This window comes from Homo sapiens, chromosome 2 (genome assembly GCF_000001405.40).
Source record: "Homo sapiens chromosome 2, GRCh38.p14 Primary Assembly".
Lineage (NCBI taxonomy): Eukaryota > Metazoa > Chordata > Mammalia > Primates > Hominidae > Homo > Homo sapiens.
The window spans coordinates 1,428,148-1,447,486 of record NC_000002.12 but is presented as its reverse complement, the minus strand read 5'-3'; the positions used below and the strand labels follow the sequence as shown (position 1 = coordinate 1,447,486).

At 48.1% G+C, this 19,339-nt stretch overlaps 1 protein-coding gene across 21 annotated transcripts in view; it reads right to left on the bottom strand.

The window, feature by feature from the left end:
* TPO (thyroid peroxidase) overlaps positions 1-19,339 on the bottom strand; it is a 169,627-nt gene that overhangs the window by 96,187 nt on the left and 54,101 nt on the right. For all 21 annotated transcript variants that reach the window (XM_047445652.1, XM_047445655.1, XM_047445654.1 and 18 more), the window contains 2 exons: positions 13,880-14,049; positions 11,103-11,235 (listed from right to left, as the gene is read on the bottom strand). In XM_047445652.1, the coding sequence (XP_047301608.1) occupies positions 11,103-11,235; positions 13,880-14,049 (303 nt within the window). The remainder of the gene's footprint in view (positions 1-11,102; positions 11,236-13,879; positions 14,050-19,339) is intronic.

The window sequence follows — 19,339 nt, the reverse complement described above, 5'->3', positions numbered from 1 at the left end:
ACAGCTTAGTTTCATATATTTTAGGGAGACACAAGACATCAATCAAATACATGTAAGATGTACACTGGTTCAGTACAAAAAGGCAGGACATCTGGAAGCGGGGGCTTCTAGGCCAAAGGTAGATTCAAAAATTTTCTGAGTGGCAATTTTTTGAAAGAGTAAAGTTATCGTCTAAGGACTTAAGACTGTCTGGGTTAAGACACAGGTTGTGGAGACCAAGGTTTCATCGTGCAGGTGAAGTCTCCAGGCAGCAGGCTTCTGAGAGAAGAGACTGTAAATGTTTCTTCTCAGAGTTAAGAAGTCTGTTCTAGCAGAAATTCCAAAAGGGAGGAGGGTGTCATGAGGCACGTCTGACCTCACTCTCCCCATCACGGTCAGATTAGTTTTTCAGGTTAGCTTTGGAACACCCTTGCCAACAGGAGGGGTCAATTCAGATGATCGCAAGACTTAGAATTTTATTTTTGGTTTACAATACACACACACACATACACACACACACACCCCTCATGGTTGCCACCTCGTATGTTGCAGAAAACATAAAATGAGATGGGTCACAGATCTAAATGTGACATGTAAAACAATAACATTTTCAGCAGAAAACACAAGAAAAATACCTTCACATTCTTCAGAGAAAGCAAGATTCTTAAACATAACAAAAAAGTTTTCTTTCCATGAAATAAGTAATTGATAAAGGGGACTTCATTAAAAATATGAACAACGTTTCTTCAAAAGACAGCATGGAGAGTGAAAAGGCCAATCTCAGCTGGGAGAAGACATTTGTAAAACATATTTCTCACTGAAGACATATTTAGAAAATATGAGCATCTATAAATCAAAAAAGATTCATTAAAAAATGGGAAAAATGTTTGAACTGGCACATCCCGAAAAAGAGTCTCCAAATGGCCAATGAATGTATTTTAAAAGTGCTCAAGACAATTAGTCACCAGGAAAATGTGAAGTTAAACCACAGGAAATGCCACCCTCCCCTCAAGAAGGGCCAAAATGAAAGGGATCACAGTGACGGGGATTGGTGAGGGCTGTGGGGCTCTTACACTTTGCTCCTGGGAATGCAGATTGGAGCAGCCACTTGGAAGCATTGACCAGTGCTCAGCAGAGAGGCGCCCATGCCTGCCCTGTAACGATGAGTGTCTCCCTCAGCAAGGCAGGAGCAAATAAATCCTGGAGGTGGAGAAGCCAGGCCCAGGGGTTACCATCTAACTTCCTTCCTATAAAAGCCAGGTCAGGGAAAACTAACTATGGTGATGAAGATCAAAGCAATGGTCACCTCTGGGTAGATGTCAAAACCTAGGAGGGGCCAGAAGGCAGCCCTCTGGGGTGTACAGTTCTCGATCTGCACCTGGGGGCTTCTCATCTGGGGGTGCAGGCCCATGGAAGACTCGGCCACCTGTCCCTCCAGATTCACCCCCAAGCCCTGCATAAGTCGTACCCCAATTTAATAGCAGGAATCCACTCATGGTCACTATGGCGATGGATTCTATCCACTGTGCCACTTATCCAACATGGTACCATATCCAACATGGTACCTCCTGCAGCAATGACGGGATCATACAAACAGGAAGGAGCCTGCCCCATTCCCTTCCAACACGGTGCCTCCTGCAGCAGTGACTGGATCATACAAACAGGAAGGAGCCTGCCCCATTCCCTTCCAACATGGTACCTCCTGCAGCAATGAGTGGTTCATACAAACAAGAAGGAGCCTACCCCATTCCCTTCCAACATGGTACCTCCTGCAGCAATGACTGGATCATACAAACAAGAAGGAGCCTGCCCATTCCCTTCCAACACGGTACCTCCTGCAGCAATGACTGGATCATACAAACAAGGAGCCTGCCCCATTCCCTTCCAACATGGTACCTCCTGCAGCAATGACTGGATCATACAAACAAGAAGGAGCCTGCCCCATTCCCTTCCAACATGGTACCTCCTGCAGCAATGACTGGATCATACAAACAAGAAGGAGCCTGCCCATTCCCTTCCAGCATGGTGCCTCCTGCAGCAATGACTGGATCATACAAACAAGAAGGAGCCTGCCCATTACCTTCCAACAGGGTACCTCCTGCAGCAATGACTGGATCATACAAACAAGAAGGAGCCTGCTCATTCCCTTCCAACACAGTGCCTCCTGCAGCAATGACTGGATCATACAAACAGGAAGGAGCCTGCCCATTCCCTTCCAACATGGTGCCTCCTGCAGCAGTGATTGGATCATACAAACAAGAAGGAGCCTGCCCATTCCCTTCCAACATGGTGACTCCTGCAGCAGTGACTGGATCATACAAACAGGAAGGAGCCTGCCCCATTTCCTTCCAACATGGTGCCTCCTGCAGCAATGACTGGATCATACAAACAAGAAGGAGCCTGCCCCATTCCCTTCCAACACAGTACCTCCTGCAGCAATGACTGCATCATACAAACAAGAAGGAGCCAGCTCCATTCCCTTCCAACATGGTACCTCCTGCAGCAATGACTGGATCATACAAACAAGAAGGAGCCTGCCCCATTCCCTTCCAACATGGTACCTCCTGCAGCAATGACTGGATCATACAAACAAGAAGGAGCCTGCCCATTCCCTTCCAGCATGGTGCCTCCTGCAGCAATGACTGGATCATACAAACAAGAAGGAGCCTGCCCATTACCTTCCAACAGGGTACCTCCTGCAGCAATGACTGGATCATACAAACAAGAAGGAGCCTGCTCATTCCCTTCCAACACAGTGCCTCCTGCAGCAATGACTGGATCATACAAACAGGAAGGAGCCTGCCCATTCCCTTCCAACATGGTGCCTCCTGCAGCAGTGATTGGATCATACAAACAAGAAGGAGCCTGCCCCATTCCCTTCCAACATGGTGACTCCTGCAGCAGTGACTGGATCATACAAACAGGAAGGAGCCTGCCCCATTTCCTTCCAACATGGTGCCTCCTGCAGCAATGACTGGATCATACAAACAAGAAGGAGCCTGCCCCATTCCCTTCCAACACAGTACCTCCTGCAGCAATGACTGCATCATACAAACAAGAAGGAGCCAGCTCCATTCCCTTCCAACATGGTACCTCCTGCAGCAATGACTGGATCATACAAACAAGAAGGAGCCAGCTCCATTCCCTTCCAACACGGTGCCTCCTGCAGCAGTGATTGGATCATACAAACAAGAACGAGCCTGCCCCGTTCCCTTCCAACATGGTACCTCCTGCAGCAATGACTGGATCATACAAACAAGAAGGCGCCTGCCCCATTCCCTTCCAACATGGTGCCTCCTGCAGCAATAACTGGATCATATAAACAAGAAGGAGCCTGCCCCATTCCCTTCCAACATGGTGCCTCCCGCAGCAGTGACTGGATCATACAAACAAGAAGGAGCCTGCCCCATTCCCTTCTAACATGGTGCCTCCCGCAGCAATGACTGGATCATACAAACAAGAAGGAGCCAGCTCCATTCCCTTCCAACATGGTGCCTCCTGCAGCAGTGATTGGATCATACAAACAAGAACGAGCCTGCCCCGTTCCCTTCCAACATGGTACCTCCTGCAGCAATGACTGGATCATACAAACAAGAAGGCGCCTGCCCCATTCCCTTCCAACATGGTGCCTCCTGCAGCAATAACTGGATCATATAAACAAGAAGGAGCCTGCCCCATTCCCTTCCAACATGGTGCCTCCCGCAGCAGTGACTGGATCATACAAACAAGAAGGAGCCTGCCCCATTCCCTTCCAACATGGTGCCTCCCGCAGCAATGACTGGATCATACAAACAAGAAGGAGCCAGCTCCATTCCCTTCCAACAAGGTGCCTCCTGCAGCAGTGACTGGATCATACAAACAAGAACGAGCCTGCCCCGTTCCCTTCCAACATGGTACCTCCTGCAGCAATGACTGGATCATACAAACAAGAAGGAGCCTGCCCTTTCCCTTCCAACATGGTGCCTCCTGCAGCAATGACTGGATCATACAAACAAGAAGGCCCCGGCCCCATTCCCTTCCAACATGTTGCCTCCTGCAACAATGACTGGATCATACAAACAAGAAGGAGCCTGCCCATTCCCTTCCAACACGGTGCCTCCTGCAACAATGACTGGATCATACAAACAAGAAGGAGCCTGCCCCATTCCCTTCCAACATGGTACCTTCTGCAGCAATGACTGGGTCATACAAACAAGAAGGAGCCTGCCCCACTCCCTTCCAACACGGTGCCTCCTGCAGCAATGACTGGATCATACAAACAAGAAGGAGCCTGCCCCATTCCCTTCAAACACGGTACCTCCTGCGGCATTGCCTACACCATACAACAAGAAGGAGCTGGCTCCATTCCCTTCCAACACTGTGAGACACAGTGGTTTACTGCAGTAGTTCATCAGATCAAAACTCAAGAAATAACACAATTTTTTGTTTGTTTGTTTTAGAGATGAGGTATTGCTTTGTTGCCCAGGCTGGTCTTGAGCTCCTGGGCTCAAGCGATCCCCCGACCTCAGCCTCCGAAAGTGCTGTCTTTACAGGCGTGAGCCAAAGTGCCCAGCAAGAAATAATGCAATTTTTCAAAGAAAAATCACACCTCTTCAAGAATCAAGACTCAGACTCTTTGAAGAAAGGGGCTTCAAAGGTGGCCATTATTTACATAATCAATCACTGACCTTTGTATCATTATTGCTCACAAATTATTTCTGCTGCATTGTCTCACTTCAGCCTCATGACAACCCTAGAAATGAGCATCACTATCTTTGCCAGTTTCCAGGTGCAGAGAATTTGAGAAACTAAGCAAGACATGAAGTCTAAGCAGCTTGTAACTGACAAAGTGGTGGCTGGAATTTCGTCTTCTATTTCAAAATACAATGTCCTTTCCATTATGCATGGGAATGTGAGCACTTTCTCAAGAACACACAGAGAAGTTCTTATCACATGTATCAATCTAAAACTGAAGGCAAATTCTATATGAAGTATCTAGGTGAATTCATCATATTTATCATATAATGAATACTGTCTTACAGTATATAATATATATTTGTATTTCTGCTTATGAATAATCATATGTAATACACTGTCTAACATTGCATGTGGTAAGATAGTCCATTGATTTAGACCACAGAGCAAACAGTGGCTCGTGGCCCCTTTGTTTTCTGGCTGTTGTGGCACACAGATCTCCACAATGACCCCACTGCCTCTGGAGGACTGTCCGTGAGTAATTCCACCCTGATTGCATCTATTTCCAGTAGCTGAGAGGCTTCATTTCTTCAGTAGCCCTCCCCTACTCCATCTGTATTAGTCTGTTTTCATGCTGCTGATAAAGACATACCTGAGTCTGAGAAGAAAAGGAGGTTTAATGGACTTACGATTCCACGTGGAGGCCTCACAATCATGGTGGAAGGCAAGGAGGAGCAGGTCATGTCTTACATGGATGGCGGCAGGCAGAAAGAGAGCTTGTGCAGGGGAACTTCCCCTTATAAAGCTGTCAAATCTCGTGAGACTTATTCACTATCACGAGAACATCACAAGAAAGACCTGCCCCCATGATTCAATTACCTCCCACCTGGTCCCTCCCACAACATGTGGGAATTCAAATGAGATTTGGGTGGGGACACAGCCAACTATATCACCATCCCGCCATGGAGCACTTGATTTTTAAAATAGAATTTGTCTTATCTCTAGGCTGATGCCAAGCTACACACTAAAACCCAAATTTCTGCAGGACATCCTCAGGCCCTGGGGATTCTGTTCTCAGCCAATGTGACTGCTTCTAGCAAAGGCAACCTGCAAGTGACGTGACCCCTGCCCACACCCACCTCCTACCCCCCAGCTCCTAGACTTCTATAAAAACACACAGGTGAGGAACAACAGCCTCAGCTGGCTGGGAGCGCAGCAGAGTCGAGGACCCTGATCTGAGTCCAGGATGATGAAGAGGTCTCCACAGGTTGGTAACAGAAACAGAAAGAAGCTGGAAATCCTTTAAATGATACTACCAAAACACCTTCACCCCAAATGCACAGTTATCAACAGCATTCCTAATATCTTAAGCTTTATATTTAGAGATTCTAAAATGTTTAAAGGGACCAGCTTGCCGTGCATGCACACACACCCCCTTGTTAAAAAATAGGGGCTTATGCAGAGAACTGATAATTTCCTTTATGACAAAGTGTAAAGCAAAACAAACTCAAGCCCCATTCTCTTCCAACATGGTACGTCCTGCAGCATTGGCCACACCGTACCAACAAGAAGGAGTCTGCCCCATTCCCTTCCAACACGGTAGCTCCTGCGGCACTGACTACACCACACAAACAAGAAGGACCCTGCCCTATTCCCTTCCAACGTACTGCCTCCTGCGGCACTCACTACACCATGCAAACAGGAAGGAGCCTGCTCCATTCATTTACAACTGGTAGCTCCTGCAGCAATGACTAGATCATACAAACAAGAAGGACCCTGCCCTGTTCCCTTCCAACATAGTGCCTCCTGTGGCACTGACTACACCATGGAAACAAGAAGGACCCTGCCCTATTCCCTTCCAACATAGTGCCTCCTGTGGCAATGACTAGATCATACAAACAAGAAGGACCCTGCCCTGTTCCCTTCCAACGTAGTGCCTCCTGCGGCACTGACTACACCATGGAAACAAGAAGGACCCTGCCCTACTTGCTTCCAACGTAGTACCTCCTGCGGCAATGACTACACCATAAAAACAGGAATGAGCCTGCTCCATTCACTTACAACATAGTACGTCCTGCGGCACTGACTAGATCATACAAACAGGAAGAAGCCTGCCCATTCTCTTCCAACATAGTGCCTCCTGCGGCACTGACTACACCATATAAACAAGAAGCAGCCTGCTCCATTCCCTTCTAAAGTGGTAGCTCCTGTGGCACTGACCACTTCATACAAACAAGAAGTACAGGTGTGGCATTAGCTACACCACACAAAGGAGAAGCAGCCTGCCCCCTTCTCTTTCAACAAGGTAGCTCCTGCGGCACCGACTACACCATACAAACAAAATGTCCAGGTGAAATGGTGAAAGAAAAATCATTCTTTTCCACTACTTGTTAAGTAATTTTATGTGATACGTCCTAGGCAATTAGGAAAATACCAACAAAGGAAAAACAAGCCTTAGAAACCCTGCCATCCACTTGTGACATGCAGACATCACACCATAAAGCAAGAAAACTAGTAGAAATGGATGAGTTTTAAAATCCACCATTTCGACATTTAGAATTTCAAAAGTTAATTCCAACTAACATTTGTCTTAAAGATGTCATTGCAGCCAACACCCAAAGGTCGCTTTGGAATGCAGGAAATGCAGCACGGTGGAAACGCAGCACGGTGGAAACGCAGCACATTGGAAACGCAGCACAGTGGAAATGTAGCACATTGGAAACGCAGCACAGTGGAAACGCAGCACATTGGAAATGCAGCACCAGCCCAGACAAGGATGGGAAGGTGTGGGTGGGGAACCAGGTGCTGGTGACTGAGAGGGACGCCGAAGCGGCTTAGGAGACCGCTGGGGGGGAACTTAGCAATTTAGTGGGTGTGGGGAAGCTCTGGGAACTCAGGGCTGAGCAAGGCAAAAGTTAGGATCGGGGAGGCAGAGACACACACATGCCTTTGGGGTGGTTCTTGGGCACAGGTGCAGAAGAGGGGACATCCCTCAAGGCAGGGGACCATCCAGAGGCTAAGGTGAGGGACCGCCACCCAGATGGGGAGGATGGCGAGGAACTCACAGTGGGGCATCAGAGGGTCTCCATGTCTGGTGACATTACTCAGCAACATGGTGAGGGGGAGAGGGGGAGTCTCTGGGCAGGCAACTCCAGAGACAGCAGCGACCTGGGGTCTGATGACCACGAGGCTGTATCTTACCAACGGCCTGAGATGCTGGGAGAGGTTTTGTGGAAGATGCAAAGAGGTAGGCTCCAAGTGGCTAAAAGTCTGCTTGTTTGGGCTATTTTTATCACAATTGGGCATGAGTAAATTTGAGCTTGGTCTTGGTGGGCTTTGGCACTAACAGGCCTGCAGAGAAAAAATAAACCACCCAGGGGCCAAGGGTCAGGGGCCCTCTGTGGCTCACTTTTATAACAACAAGTGACCGATTTCTGAGCAGATGTTTTATTTTTGGTGGAATACAATGTGTGAAGCCTTGAACGTAGGAGATTTTAGATCCAGATGCTGTGAATTCTTAATGAAAACTGTAGCTGTTACCACAGAAGGAGAGAAACCAGCTCAGATCTAAGTGTCCCCAGATCACAGCTCCCAGTGCCAATGTCATTGTGTGGTCAGCAGAGATTCTCCCAGGAGCGTCAGTGGAGCCCGCCCAGCAGCTGGGGCAGAGGCGCCCAAGACAGCAGCAGGGCCTTTCAGAAGGGCCGAGCAGGAACTCACTGCTGCCGGCTGAGGCCCTGGTCTTGAGGTTGTTAAAATGTAAACTTAGGCACAATACATTTTTTAAAGAGTTTTTTTTGAGTGATCATGATTTATGAATCAGGAAGCATCAAACCAAAGAAAGGTTCAGGCTCTACTGCAGGACCCAGGGGCAGGCTTTGCAGGTGGATGTAGACGTCATTGGAGAAAAGCTTTGACTGGCTTCAGTTTCGCATTATTTGGTCTGTCCTGCTGGAAGGTTCCTAGTTAAACAGGTTAGTTGGCAGTTTCGGAATGGTCGGGCTTATATTTCATTTTTCTTTAATCCAGGCATTTGCAAAAAAAAAAAAAAAAATCTCCAGTTAAGTTTCTCTTCTGTTTGCAAATCAAGCAAGATTTAGATCATGTGTGAGGCCTACTGGCTTTGCTCAGGGATTCCCCAAGCACTGTAATTCACCCTCCACTGCAATTTGCTTTAAGGATGCCCACGATGTTGCACATGGCTGAATTCATCATCCCCCTGACGTGGAGGAGGGACGTGGGGCAGGGTGGGGGTGGGTGGGGGGTGGCCCCTGGGTCGACCTCCGTAGGGAGAGCCATCAGAATGCACCTGAGGTCTGGGTCATGGCTGACAGACAGAAGGCAGCAGGCAGAAAAGGAAATGGAAAAAAGTTAGGAGGTCTCAAGGAAAACCTAGAACCCAAGGAGCTCCATCACGGACCCCTCTGGTGAAAGTGCTTCGGGCCACGGAGAGTCCCAGACTTGTTAACGCTGTTTAAGACACGCTAGAGGTGTTGAAAACATATGGAAAGTATGACTCGCTGATTCTTAAGATAATTGTGCTTAGGAATGCAGAATTCAATGTCTTATATTTCTTTAATAAAATCAGAAGTATGAAACCCATTCAGAGAGCAGCCCCGCCCCCACATCTCCAACGCCACTGTCCCCCGGGATCCCCACCCTCAACATGTACCTGCACGTTAGACCCCACCCTGTCCTTCTGAAGACCCTGCTCCTCCCCGTGTAGTCCAAGCCATCTCCGCTCCGGCTTCTGACTCAACAGTGCACCTACCCCCTGCCCTCCTCCACCCAGGCCCTCCAGCCCCATCCCCTCCTCCATCCAGGCCTGGTCCCTCCAGCCGTGCATCCCACCAGCCATCTCAGTGTCCCCATACTCCCAGGCATCATCTCCTGTGCATCCTTTGTCTACATCTATGTCTCCCACTGAGCTCTGAGGACAGGACACATGCCATCTCCACCTCTGAGCCCACTTCCACGGGAAGGCACAGACCCCCCCCCAGGCTTCAGGGCAGGAGGGGTGGACAGCAGCCTCCTGTGTGGCCCTGACCCATCTCTGTGTTCAGCACAGGCTGCCTCTTCCAGCCGGGGCTCCGCAGTCCTAAGATCAGATCCTCACACATGGCCAGGTTATGCATTCCTGCTGTGGGCTTAACAAACAAGCTCTTACAGCTCAAAGAATTGAAACAAACTGCCCTCTGATAGGTGGTGATTCCAGGTTTCAAATCCAGGGCTGTCCAGTTGCAAAGCTGTTGTTCTTAACCATCATCATATACCCAGGACCCCGATTCCTGTTCATTGTCGCAAAGCCCCTGCTCTCTGTCTCAGGACAGGGCCTGTCCAAGCCAGGGCTCTGCCTGGGTCCCGCTGATCCCTCTCTCGGGGGGGGCATCTTCCTTCTGACCTCAGCACACCCAGCAGTGAGGAGCTCGAGTCCCTTTGAGGAGTTCTTCCATGCTAAGCACCTTTGCTGCCTGCATCGGTGAACATCAAGCCTGCAGCCATCCTGGCGCCACACTATTGTGACAAAGCTTCTAGGTGACCACCGGGCACACTGTTTCCCCCAGACCCCACAGGCGCCACAATCCCGGCTGCTCTCCCTCTGCCCCTCTGTGTGCCAAAGGCTGCACGTTTCAGCCCAAACGCATCTTGCTCTTTCCGGCCTTTGCAAAGCCCTCTTCTCTACCCTGTGGACCATTTGAGAAATGCCCACTCATCCTTTAAGATTTGGCTCACTCGCATATCACCTTCTTCAGAAAACCATTCTGAACCCCAGACTGAATCACATGCCTCTGTGTGTGGCCAAAGCTCCTGTCCATCTCCTGCCATTGTGGACCAGAGGAGGTGGGCAGTCACCACTGTTGGGCGGATCTGAACTCACTCTGAGTGCAGTGGGGACTGAGGGAGGAGTTGAGAAGGAGGGTGCTGAGATGGTGTTGGCCATAACAGGGAGCGTGAATGGGGAAAGCAAGAGTTAAATTAGGAGAACCAGTGAGGGGACCACCACGTGATGGCAGCTGGATGGTTATTTTGGCTTCAGCTAAGGTGACAGGGAGTGGAGAGGACTCATTTTGGAGGTAAAAGTGACAGTCTTGGGGGTGCATTGGAAACAATGGGTAGCGGAGCTAGCGAAATCAAGGATGGCGCCTAAGCACGTGGCTTGAGCTCTTAGGTGAAGGGCGGTGGAATTTGTGGGGTTAGGAAGTTAAGAGTCACCTGTAAGCACCTATGTGGATGGGACGTTGTGGCTGGGAATGACAGTACTGCTTGGCACGCTGCTTGAGGCACCACCAGGCATGCAGGAGGCCATGTCGGGGAGGCCAAGGACAGGAACCAGGGGCTCAGGGGTGGATACAGATCCACCAGTGGTGGTAGAAGTTCCTTCATGATGGCATCTAGTCATGTTCAGATCCAACTTTCACGAGAAGATTAAGAAAATCCACAAACAATACCTGTTGTTGCAAGCTCCTGTGATGGGCCTGTATTTGTTCGCCAGGCAAGTGTTTGGGCATTTTGGGGGCAGCATGTAAGGGAGACATCCAGACATGTTTGCAATGATGCTCAGCAGATCTTCTGATAAAGCATCTGTGAAAAATAGGAAACCATGAATTCTGTGCTTGTAACCACAAATCCACCTAACAAATATTCTATTGCAGTCTCAAAAGTGACTCCAGCATCTGAATTTGGGATTCATATGTAACTGGGGTCACTGTTTTTGAGAAAATCTGCCTTCTCCCTTTACATCAAGTGCTCACTCATTTAATTCCCTTGAGCTTCCTTATTGCTAGAAATGTGGGGGTTTTAAAATTTATTTTTGCTCTGTGATCTTTCAGAAAAGCAATCTAGGAGCTCTCAGCCCTCAGGGGGATAAGCCAGCAAGTAACTTTGCAGTTACCATCAACTCTCACTAAGCACATCTCCAGGGCTCATTCATCATATTCGAACAGTGAGGCATGTGTGCCTAGTAATGGCCCCAGTGCTTTAGAAGACAGTGAGGAGTAGAATTTATCCCGAACCCTAATGTAGAAAAAATCTTGCCTTGATGAAGATGGTACGCTTATCTATAAAACCTTTCGTTTTTCCTTTGTATTGATTTTTGGTTCCCTTGTAAATCTTTCCAGATGAGACGAGAACCCAGGAAACAATTTCCTGTTTTTCTTTTTTTTGGATTAATTCTGTCACTATAATTTATATGTTATTCAACAAATCAAGGTGAGAGTGGCTTTATTGTCCATTAGTAGAGGTAATCATCGATTACTTCTCCAATATGGTTTATATAAATCTTTGAGGATAATGCCACAAAACTTTGATTAACAAGATACCAGTGAAATTGAGATATTCAAAAGAAAAAAAAGCCAGGAAGGAATGCATTCCATTTTCAGATATGAGAGAAACAAACTAGTCTTTCAATCATGAATGCTCACTAACAGTCCAACGGGAATGGCTCTATGGGAACAGTTAAGTAAACCTTGGACTGCAGTGTGCATTCAGTTAGTGGAGGATTACGCATTCTTCAAAAAGCTGAGCACAGATTCTTCTTGACAGGAATGCCCTCAAGCAGGTGCTTGCAGACAACAAATCATGTGCGATAGAAAAGAACCATTGGCCGGGTACGGTGGCTCACGCCTGTAATCCCAGCACTTTGGGAGGCCAAAGAGGGTGGATTACGAGGTCAGGAGATCGAGACCATCCTGGCTAACATGGTGAAACCCCGTCTCTACTAAAAATACAAAAAATTAGCCGGGTGTGGTGGTGAGTGCCTGTAGTCCCAGTTACTCAGGAGGCTGAGGCAGGAGAATGGCGTGAACCTGGGAGGCGGAGCTTGCAGTGAGCCGAGATCGCCCCACTGCACTCCAGCCTGGGCGACAGAGGGAGACTTCATCTCAACAAAAAAAAAGAAGAAAAGAACTATGAGGTCATAGTCATGTAACACACAAGACCAACATGAAGGAGCAGCCTAGAAGGACAGGCACTGACCTTTAATGGAATTCTGTCTTGGTGATGAAGTAATGGGAAACCTTTTTAGGTTCCTCGTGTTCTAAATTTTCAAGATGGGCTATACTTACAACGGAAATCATTTTAAAAAATTCTAAATTATGGAGTTCTTAAGTTCTACATTATAGCCTGGACCAAATACCTCAGCCTATTCTCCTAAACATCGATGTCTACAGACCCGGCAGTGAGCATGTGGCTCTAAGGCATGGACCAGAAAGACCCACATCTTCTGACGTCAGGAACTGCCATTTCCATAGGAGGCCTGACAGGACAGTGGACAGGACAGTGTCCCGTAACAGGACAGTGGACCGAGAGTTCTTAGAAACATCGTTCAGCCATATGGTTTGAAAGAAAGGACATTTCAAAGTGGTGAATCTTAGCTTGCTATGAAATTAATTAAACTTCACTGTTAAGTTTAGGATTTGAGAATTCTGGTCAATACTGATTTAGCCAAGTTTGTCTTATTCTAAAAGCTAAGTAACCAGCACCAAATTGATCTATAGCTAGTTAGAAGGAAGAACTCAGAGGCCAAGTAGCTCATGGCGCTGCAGAGAAAAAATTCTTGATAAATTAATTAAAAAGACATTTCGCTTACTTGCTCTGCATCATAGGAAGCACCAATATGACTTTTGAATGCCTGCATTACCATCTCAGTATCTTATGCCCATAGAGTGCTTTAGAGCTGAAGAAATGACGACATTTGCTCCTGGTTTATGCACTGGTCTTCTGATAGCCATTGGAGTGAGCAGTGCCACTGTCCTCATTTTAGAGATGAGTAAATTGGCTCTCAAATGTCCTGGGTAGTTCTGCTGAGGCACCAGCAACTCAGTGGGAAGATGGGGCTCCCTGCAATGCGCTGCCTCACACATGAAGTCCTTTCACTGTAGAGGTTTTATGAATGAGCTTGCCAAGTTTTAACTAAGAGGGGGGCTATGGGAAAATTCCTAAATTATTTTATACCATAAAAAATGGATGTTTAGCTTATTGAGCTACTTCTCAAATTTGATTTGGATAGGAGAGAAATGGCTATTTTCCAGAGTAACAAAAATAAGATATTGAGACTGTTTGGTAAGCATTTTTAAAAATTGCAGCTTGTATGCTTTGAAAGAGCTGGAGTCCCATCCTGCTTGGTCTCAAGTAAAAAACATGCCCTGAGCAAGCAGCCCCTGCACAAAGTCAAGGTGTCCTCCTTCGGGAGTTGCCGCTCCTCAGTGGGGAGAGGGGCACACATTACCCGTTGGATGCTGTGATTGTTGAGTTTTCAGGTTGACTTTTCTTTTCATCGCTTGTATTGATGTTTCCATTATCTCTGCTGCTCGGGCAATCACTCCGCTTGTTGGCTCAGGAAGTTTGGAAAAAGACAGAAGCTGAGCTGGAGAAAGGATTCCTCTTTTCTTGAGGTTTCTATGGCACATAAAGAAGATATAAAATAGATTATTTGTCTATGGTATCTTTGGTACTTAATTACTAATTAATTAAGCAGACATTTATTGAGTAACTACTGTGTCCCAGACAATGTGACAGGCACTGCGGGGTGTGCACAGGTAAAACATGTGCAGTTGCTGTCCACGGGGTCACTGGGTTTAGGAACAGGAATAGGGTGTAAGTGATGCATCAGTATTGAATGATGAGGAAAATGGCACAGACTTGCCCTTTACAAAACTGCCAAATCAGAATGAATTGGATTCTCATAACAATTGCGGACAGGCCATCACATCCAAACCAAGATATGATTTGTTTACATCCCAGCTAATGAAACAGGAGACTGGGAAGCGCACAGCCCTGCCCTGATCTCAGAGCCAAAGCCTGCAGAAGCTGCATGTGTCCCAGCTCCAACTTCTTCCCTTCCCACTCCAGTGCAGAGCATTGGCTCAATGCAGCCCTAGAACGGGGCAGCAAAGCTGTTCACAGTGAGAGCTAAACACACCCTCATAGAATAAGAAATATGTGAAGCCTGCCTCATCTGAATGCCTCTCCTCATCTGGGGCCTCCCCTCACCTGCAGGCCTCTCCTCACCTGCAGGCCTCTCCTCACCTGCAGGCCTCACCCCACCTGCATGCCTCCCCTCACCTGCAGGCCTCTCCTCACCTGCAGGCCTCCCCTCACCTGCAGGCCTCTCCTTACCTGGGGCCTCACCTCACCTGCAGGCCTCACCCCACCTGCAGGCCTCACCCCACCTGCAGGCCTCTCCTCACCTGCAGGCCTCCCCTCACCTGCAGGCCTCCCCTCACCTGCAGGCCTCACCCCACCTGCAGGCCTCTCCTCACCTGCAGGCCTCACCCCACCTGCAGGCCTCTCCTCACCTGCAGGCCTCCCCTCACCTGCAGGCCTCTCCACACCTGGGGCCTCCCCTCACCTGCAGGCCTCCCCTTACTCCTGGTCTCCCACACAAGCACCTGGCCTTTTTAGATTCTCAGCAGCAGCAGCTACACGGAACCAATCCAAGGTTTCACAACTGGCTTGCCTACTAGCATTTGAGGACCTGGGGAACCTGGAGAGAAAGCACAGAGGTGACCTTTGCAACAATGCTGCCAACACCTGGGTGGATCAGAGCATTGTCCAGGCACCTGCAGAATGGAATTACTGAGTCCCCAGGACCCAAGGGAGGACTACATCAAGTTCACCATCCTTCTTGTCTGAATGTTGAGTCAATCACCTTTGGCAGCAAAGCTGGCAGGGCCAGGCCTCAAAGAAGAAGCAGAGTGACCACAGCGGACTGTGCTCTGGGGGCTCCAGACAGCTGCCCTGGCTGAGTCGCCTGCAGGGCGGGGCCTCTCCAGCTGACAGGAGGCCAGCACTGCCCAAGTGACCACGGCAGGTGTGTGAGTGGACAGGTCCTAGAGCAAGAGCAGGAGCAAGAGAGTAGAGTTGGGGAGGTGTTGGCAGGTGTGCGAGTGTCAGACGCCAGACAGAACTACAGAGCTGGCAGGAGAACCTCCTTCCCTCTGCAAGTTAGACATGAGGCTCAGGGCTCAGAATCACCTACTGTGGCTTTGGGAAAAGTGACCTAGTTGTTCTCTTCAGTTGTTCTGCCATAATTAAATGCATTGTTTATATTTTTGTTTATTAATAATAACCCCAAAATACATAGTGCTTACTGAGTGAAAATAAAGTTTTAGGTGCTGTGCTAAGCACTTGTATTCCTTCCGTAGTTAATAATATTGAATACTAAAAACTAATGTGCTAAGAGAGATTTTAAGTGCTCTCACCACATGTACACACCAATCACTACGGAAGGTGATGGGTATGTTAACTTTGTTTGACGGTAGTGATCATTTCATTATGTATTTGTATATCAAAACATCATTTTGCACATCGGAAATACATACAATAAAAATAAATTTTTAAAAAGCTTACTTGTTAACCTATTTTTTGCATTGCTGTAAAGAAATACCTGAGAATGGGTAATTCATAAGGAAAAGGGATTTAATTGGCTCAAGGTTCTGCGGGCTGTGCAAACATGGACCCAGGATCTGCTTGGCTTCTGGGGAGACCTCAGGAAGCCACAGTCATGGTGGAAGGTGCAGCAGGAGCAGGTGTCTCACATGGTGAGAGAAGGAGCAAGAGGTCAAGCGGGCAGGTGCCACACAACGTAAAACAACCAGGTCTCACATGGACTTCCTGGGCAAGAACTGACTCATCACCAAGAGGATGGGGCTAAACCATTCATCAGGGATTTGCCCTTGTGATCCAATCGCCTCTCACCAGGCCTCACCTCCAACATCCAGAATCACATTTTAACATGAGATTTAAGGGGGAAAAGCATCTACACCTTATTATTCTACCCGTTCCCCCAAATCCCACACCTTTCTCACATTCCAAAATACAATTGCGCATTCGCAACAGTCCCCCAAAGTCTTAATTTATTCTGGCATTAACTCAAAATCCCAAGTCCAAAGTCTCATCTGGAGATGAGGTCCTTCTACCTATGAGCCTCTGAGATAAAAAAGCAGTTATATGTTTCCAAGATACAATGGGGGCACCAGCATTGGGTATATTTTTCCATTCTAAAAGGGAGAAATCAGCCAACAGGAAGGCTTGATAGGCCCCACACCAGTCTACACTCAGCAGGCAATTCATTAAATCTTAAAGCTCTGAAACAATCTCCTTTGACTCCGTGTCCTGTACCCTGGTGTGAGGAATGGGCTCCCATAGCCTTGGGCAGCTCTGCCCCTGTGGCTTCCCTGAACACAGCCCACCTGGCTGCTCTCATGGGTTGGAGTTGAGCACTTGAGGCTTTTTCAGTTGCAGAGTGCAAGCTGCTGGTGGATCTACAATTCTGGGGTCTGCAGGGCGATGGCCCCCTTCCCACAGCTCCATTAAGCAGTGTCTCAGTGGGCACTCTGTGTGGGGGCTTCAACCTCACATTCCCCCTCAGCATGGCCCTAGTAGAGTCATTCTGAGAGGGCTTTGCCCCTGAAGTAGGCTTCTACCTGGGCACTAGGCTTTTTCATGGATTCTCTGAAATCTAGGGGAAGCTACTAAGCCTCCTTAACTCCTGCATTCTGTGAGCCTGAAGGCTGAACACCGTGTGAAAGCTATAGACACTTACGGCTTGGACTGTTCAAGCTGTGGCTTGAGTAGTACCTGGGCCCCTCTGAGCCAAGCCCAGAGCCAGAGTAGCTGGGATACAGGGATCAGTGTCCCTGGGCTGCACAGGACAAAGAGGCCCAAGGTCTAGACTCTGAAGTCATTCTTTCCTCCTAGATCTCTGGCCTTGTTACAGTAAGGGCTGTCCTGAGGACTTATACCATGCTTTCTTCGAGGCCCTTTTCCTGTTGTCTTGGATAGTAGCACTTGGCTCCCTTTTAGTCATGCTAATCTCTCTAGTAAATGGTTACTCCAACAACCCCCTTTAATTCTTTCCCTGAAAACAGGATATTGTTTTCTATCAAGTGGCTAGCCTGCAAATTTTCCAAATGTTTATGCTCTGCTTCCCTTTTAAATATAATTTCCAAATACAAATCATTTCTTTGCTCTCATATCTGATGGTTGGTTGTTAGAAGAAGCCAGACCACCCCTTGAATTCTTTGCTGCATAGAAATTTCTTCTGCCAGATACTCCAAGTCATCACTCGTAAGTTCAAATTTCCATAGATGCCCACGACTTGGACACAATGCAGCCAAGCTCTTTGCTGAGGCATAGCACAGGCGGCCTCTACCTCCAGTTCCCAGTAAGTTCCTCATTTCCATCTGAGACCATGTCAGCCTGGCCTTCACTGTCCTTATTTCTACCAGCGTTTTGGTCACAGTCATTTGGCAAGTCTCTAGGAAGTTCTAAACTTTCCCTTGTCTTTCTCTCTTCTTCTCAGCCCTCCAAACTCTTCCAACCCCTGCCATTACACAGTTCCAAAGCCACTGCCACAATTTCAGGTATCTTTATAGAAACACCCTACTCCTCAGTACCAGTTTTCTGTGTTAGGCCATTTTCACATTGCTATAAAGAAATACCTGAGACTTGGTAATTTACCCAGAAAAGAAGTTTAATTGGCTCACGGTTCTTCTGGCTATATAAGCATGGCTCCTGCACCTGCCTGGCTTCTGGTGAGGGCCTCATGAAGCCGACAACCATGGCAGAAGTTGAATGGGGAGTGGTCAGGTCCCGGAGTAAGAGCAGGAGCAGGAGAGTAGAGTGGGGGAGATGCCACAGACTTTTAAACAACCAGATCTCACGTGAAGTAACTGAGCAAAAACTCCCTTATCACCAACGGGATGGGGCAAATCACTCACCATATATATTAGAAATAACTTCATGTACATACAAATGCGTATGACATTTAACTTAAAATATAAAACACGTGTTTTATATCGGCTGACATGTTTGTAAAAGGTACTATATAGTCATGAACTTTGAGGACACTGAGATTATAGCTACTTACAACTAACACATTAGCCAGCCATAGTTCATGGATGCCAGCCAAAGACAGGAGACTCTCGGCCCAGACACAAGTGACATTGTCAGTCACAGCAGCAGCAGAGCCAGAGTGTAAGCACCTGTGCAGGTTCCCCAGGACTCGCCATGGTAGACAGGATAGCAACCCTCCCCAAAACGCGTGCTTTCCTTGGAGACATTTATCTAAAATCTATCTGAGCAAGACATTTGGCTAATAGGAAGAACAAGAATTCTCTGGAGATCTGAAGGCCAAGGGTGCTCCTTTTGATGAAATCCACTTTCTCTGCTTCCTAGAACATCACCTGCACCCACTCGAGGGCTCACCTGTCTCATCCCTTCTTTTGCCTGGCACCCATGGGACAACACAATCTGGGCCCAAAAGGGGTACGTCAGGAAAGCAGGGGTCTGGGAAACTGAGCTCAGCTCTTGACAGTGACGTGGAGGGTATCACCCAGTGGATCCCCCGGATAGGTCCCCAGGCCATGCTGCCCATGCCAGCCCTTCCTGTCCCTGCAACTGCCGTGTAGCTCAGAGGACTCTCCCTTGCTGGCTGGTCACTTTCCCGTCATGTCCATGTTCTGCAGAGCCCAGCCTGTGGGGAGCTCAGTTCAGGAGAGCCTGGAAAGGTGCTTCAACCACCCCACAAGCCACAGTCTGCTCTGTTCATCTGCTGCTATTTCCCAGGGGCCCCAGCCATGGGTCATTCCGAATGCAGACAGTTTGCAGCCCAGCCCAGGGCTGCATGTTACTTTAAGACCTCAGCTTCAGAACATAAGCAAGGTATTAATAGGTGACACTTTCA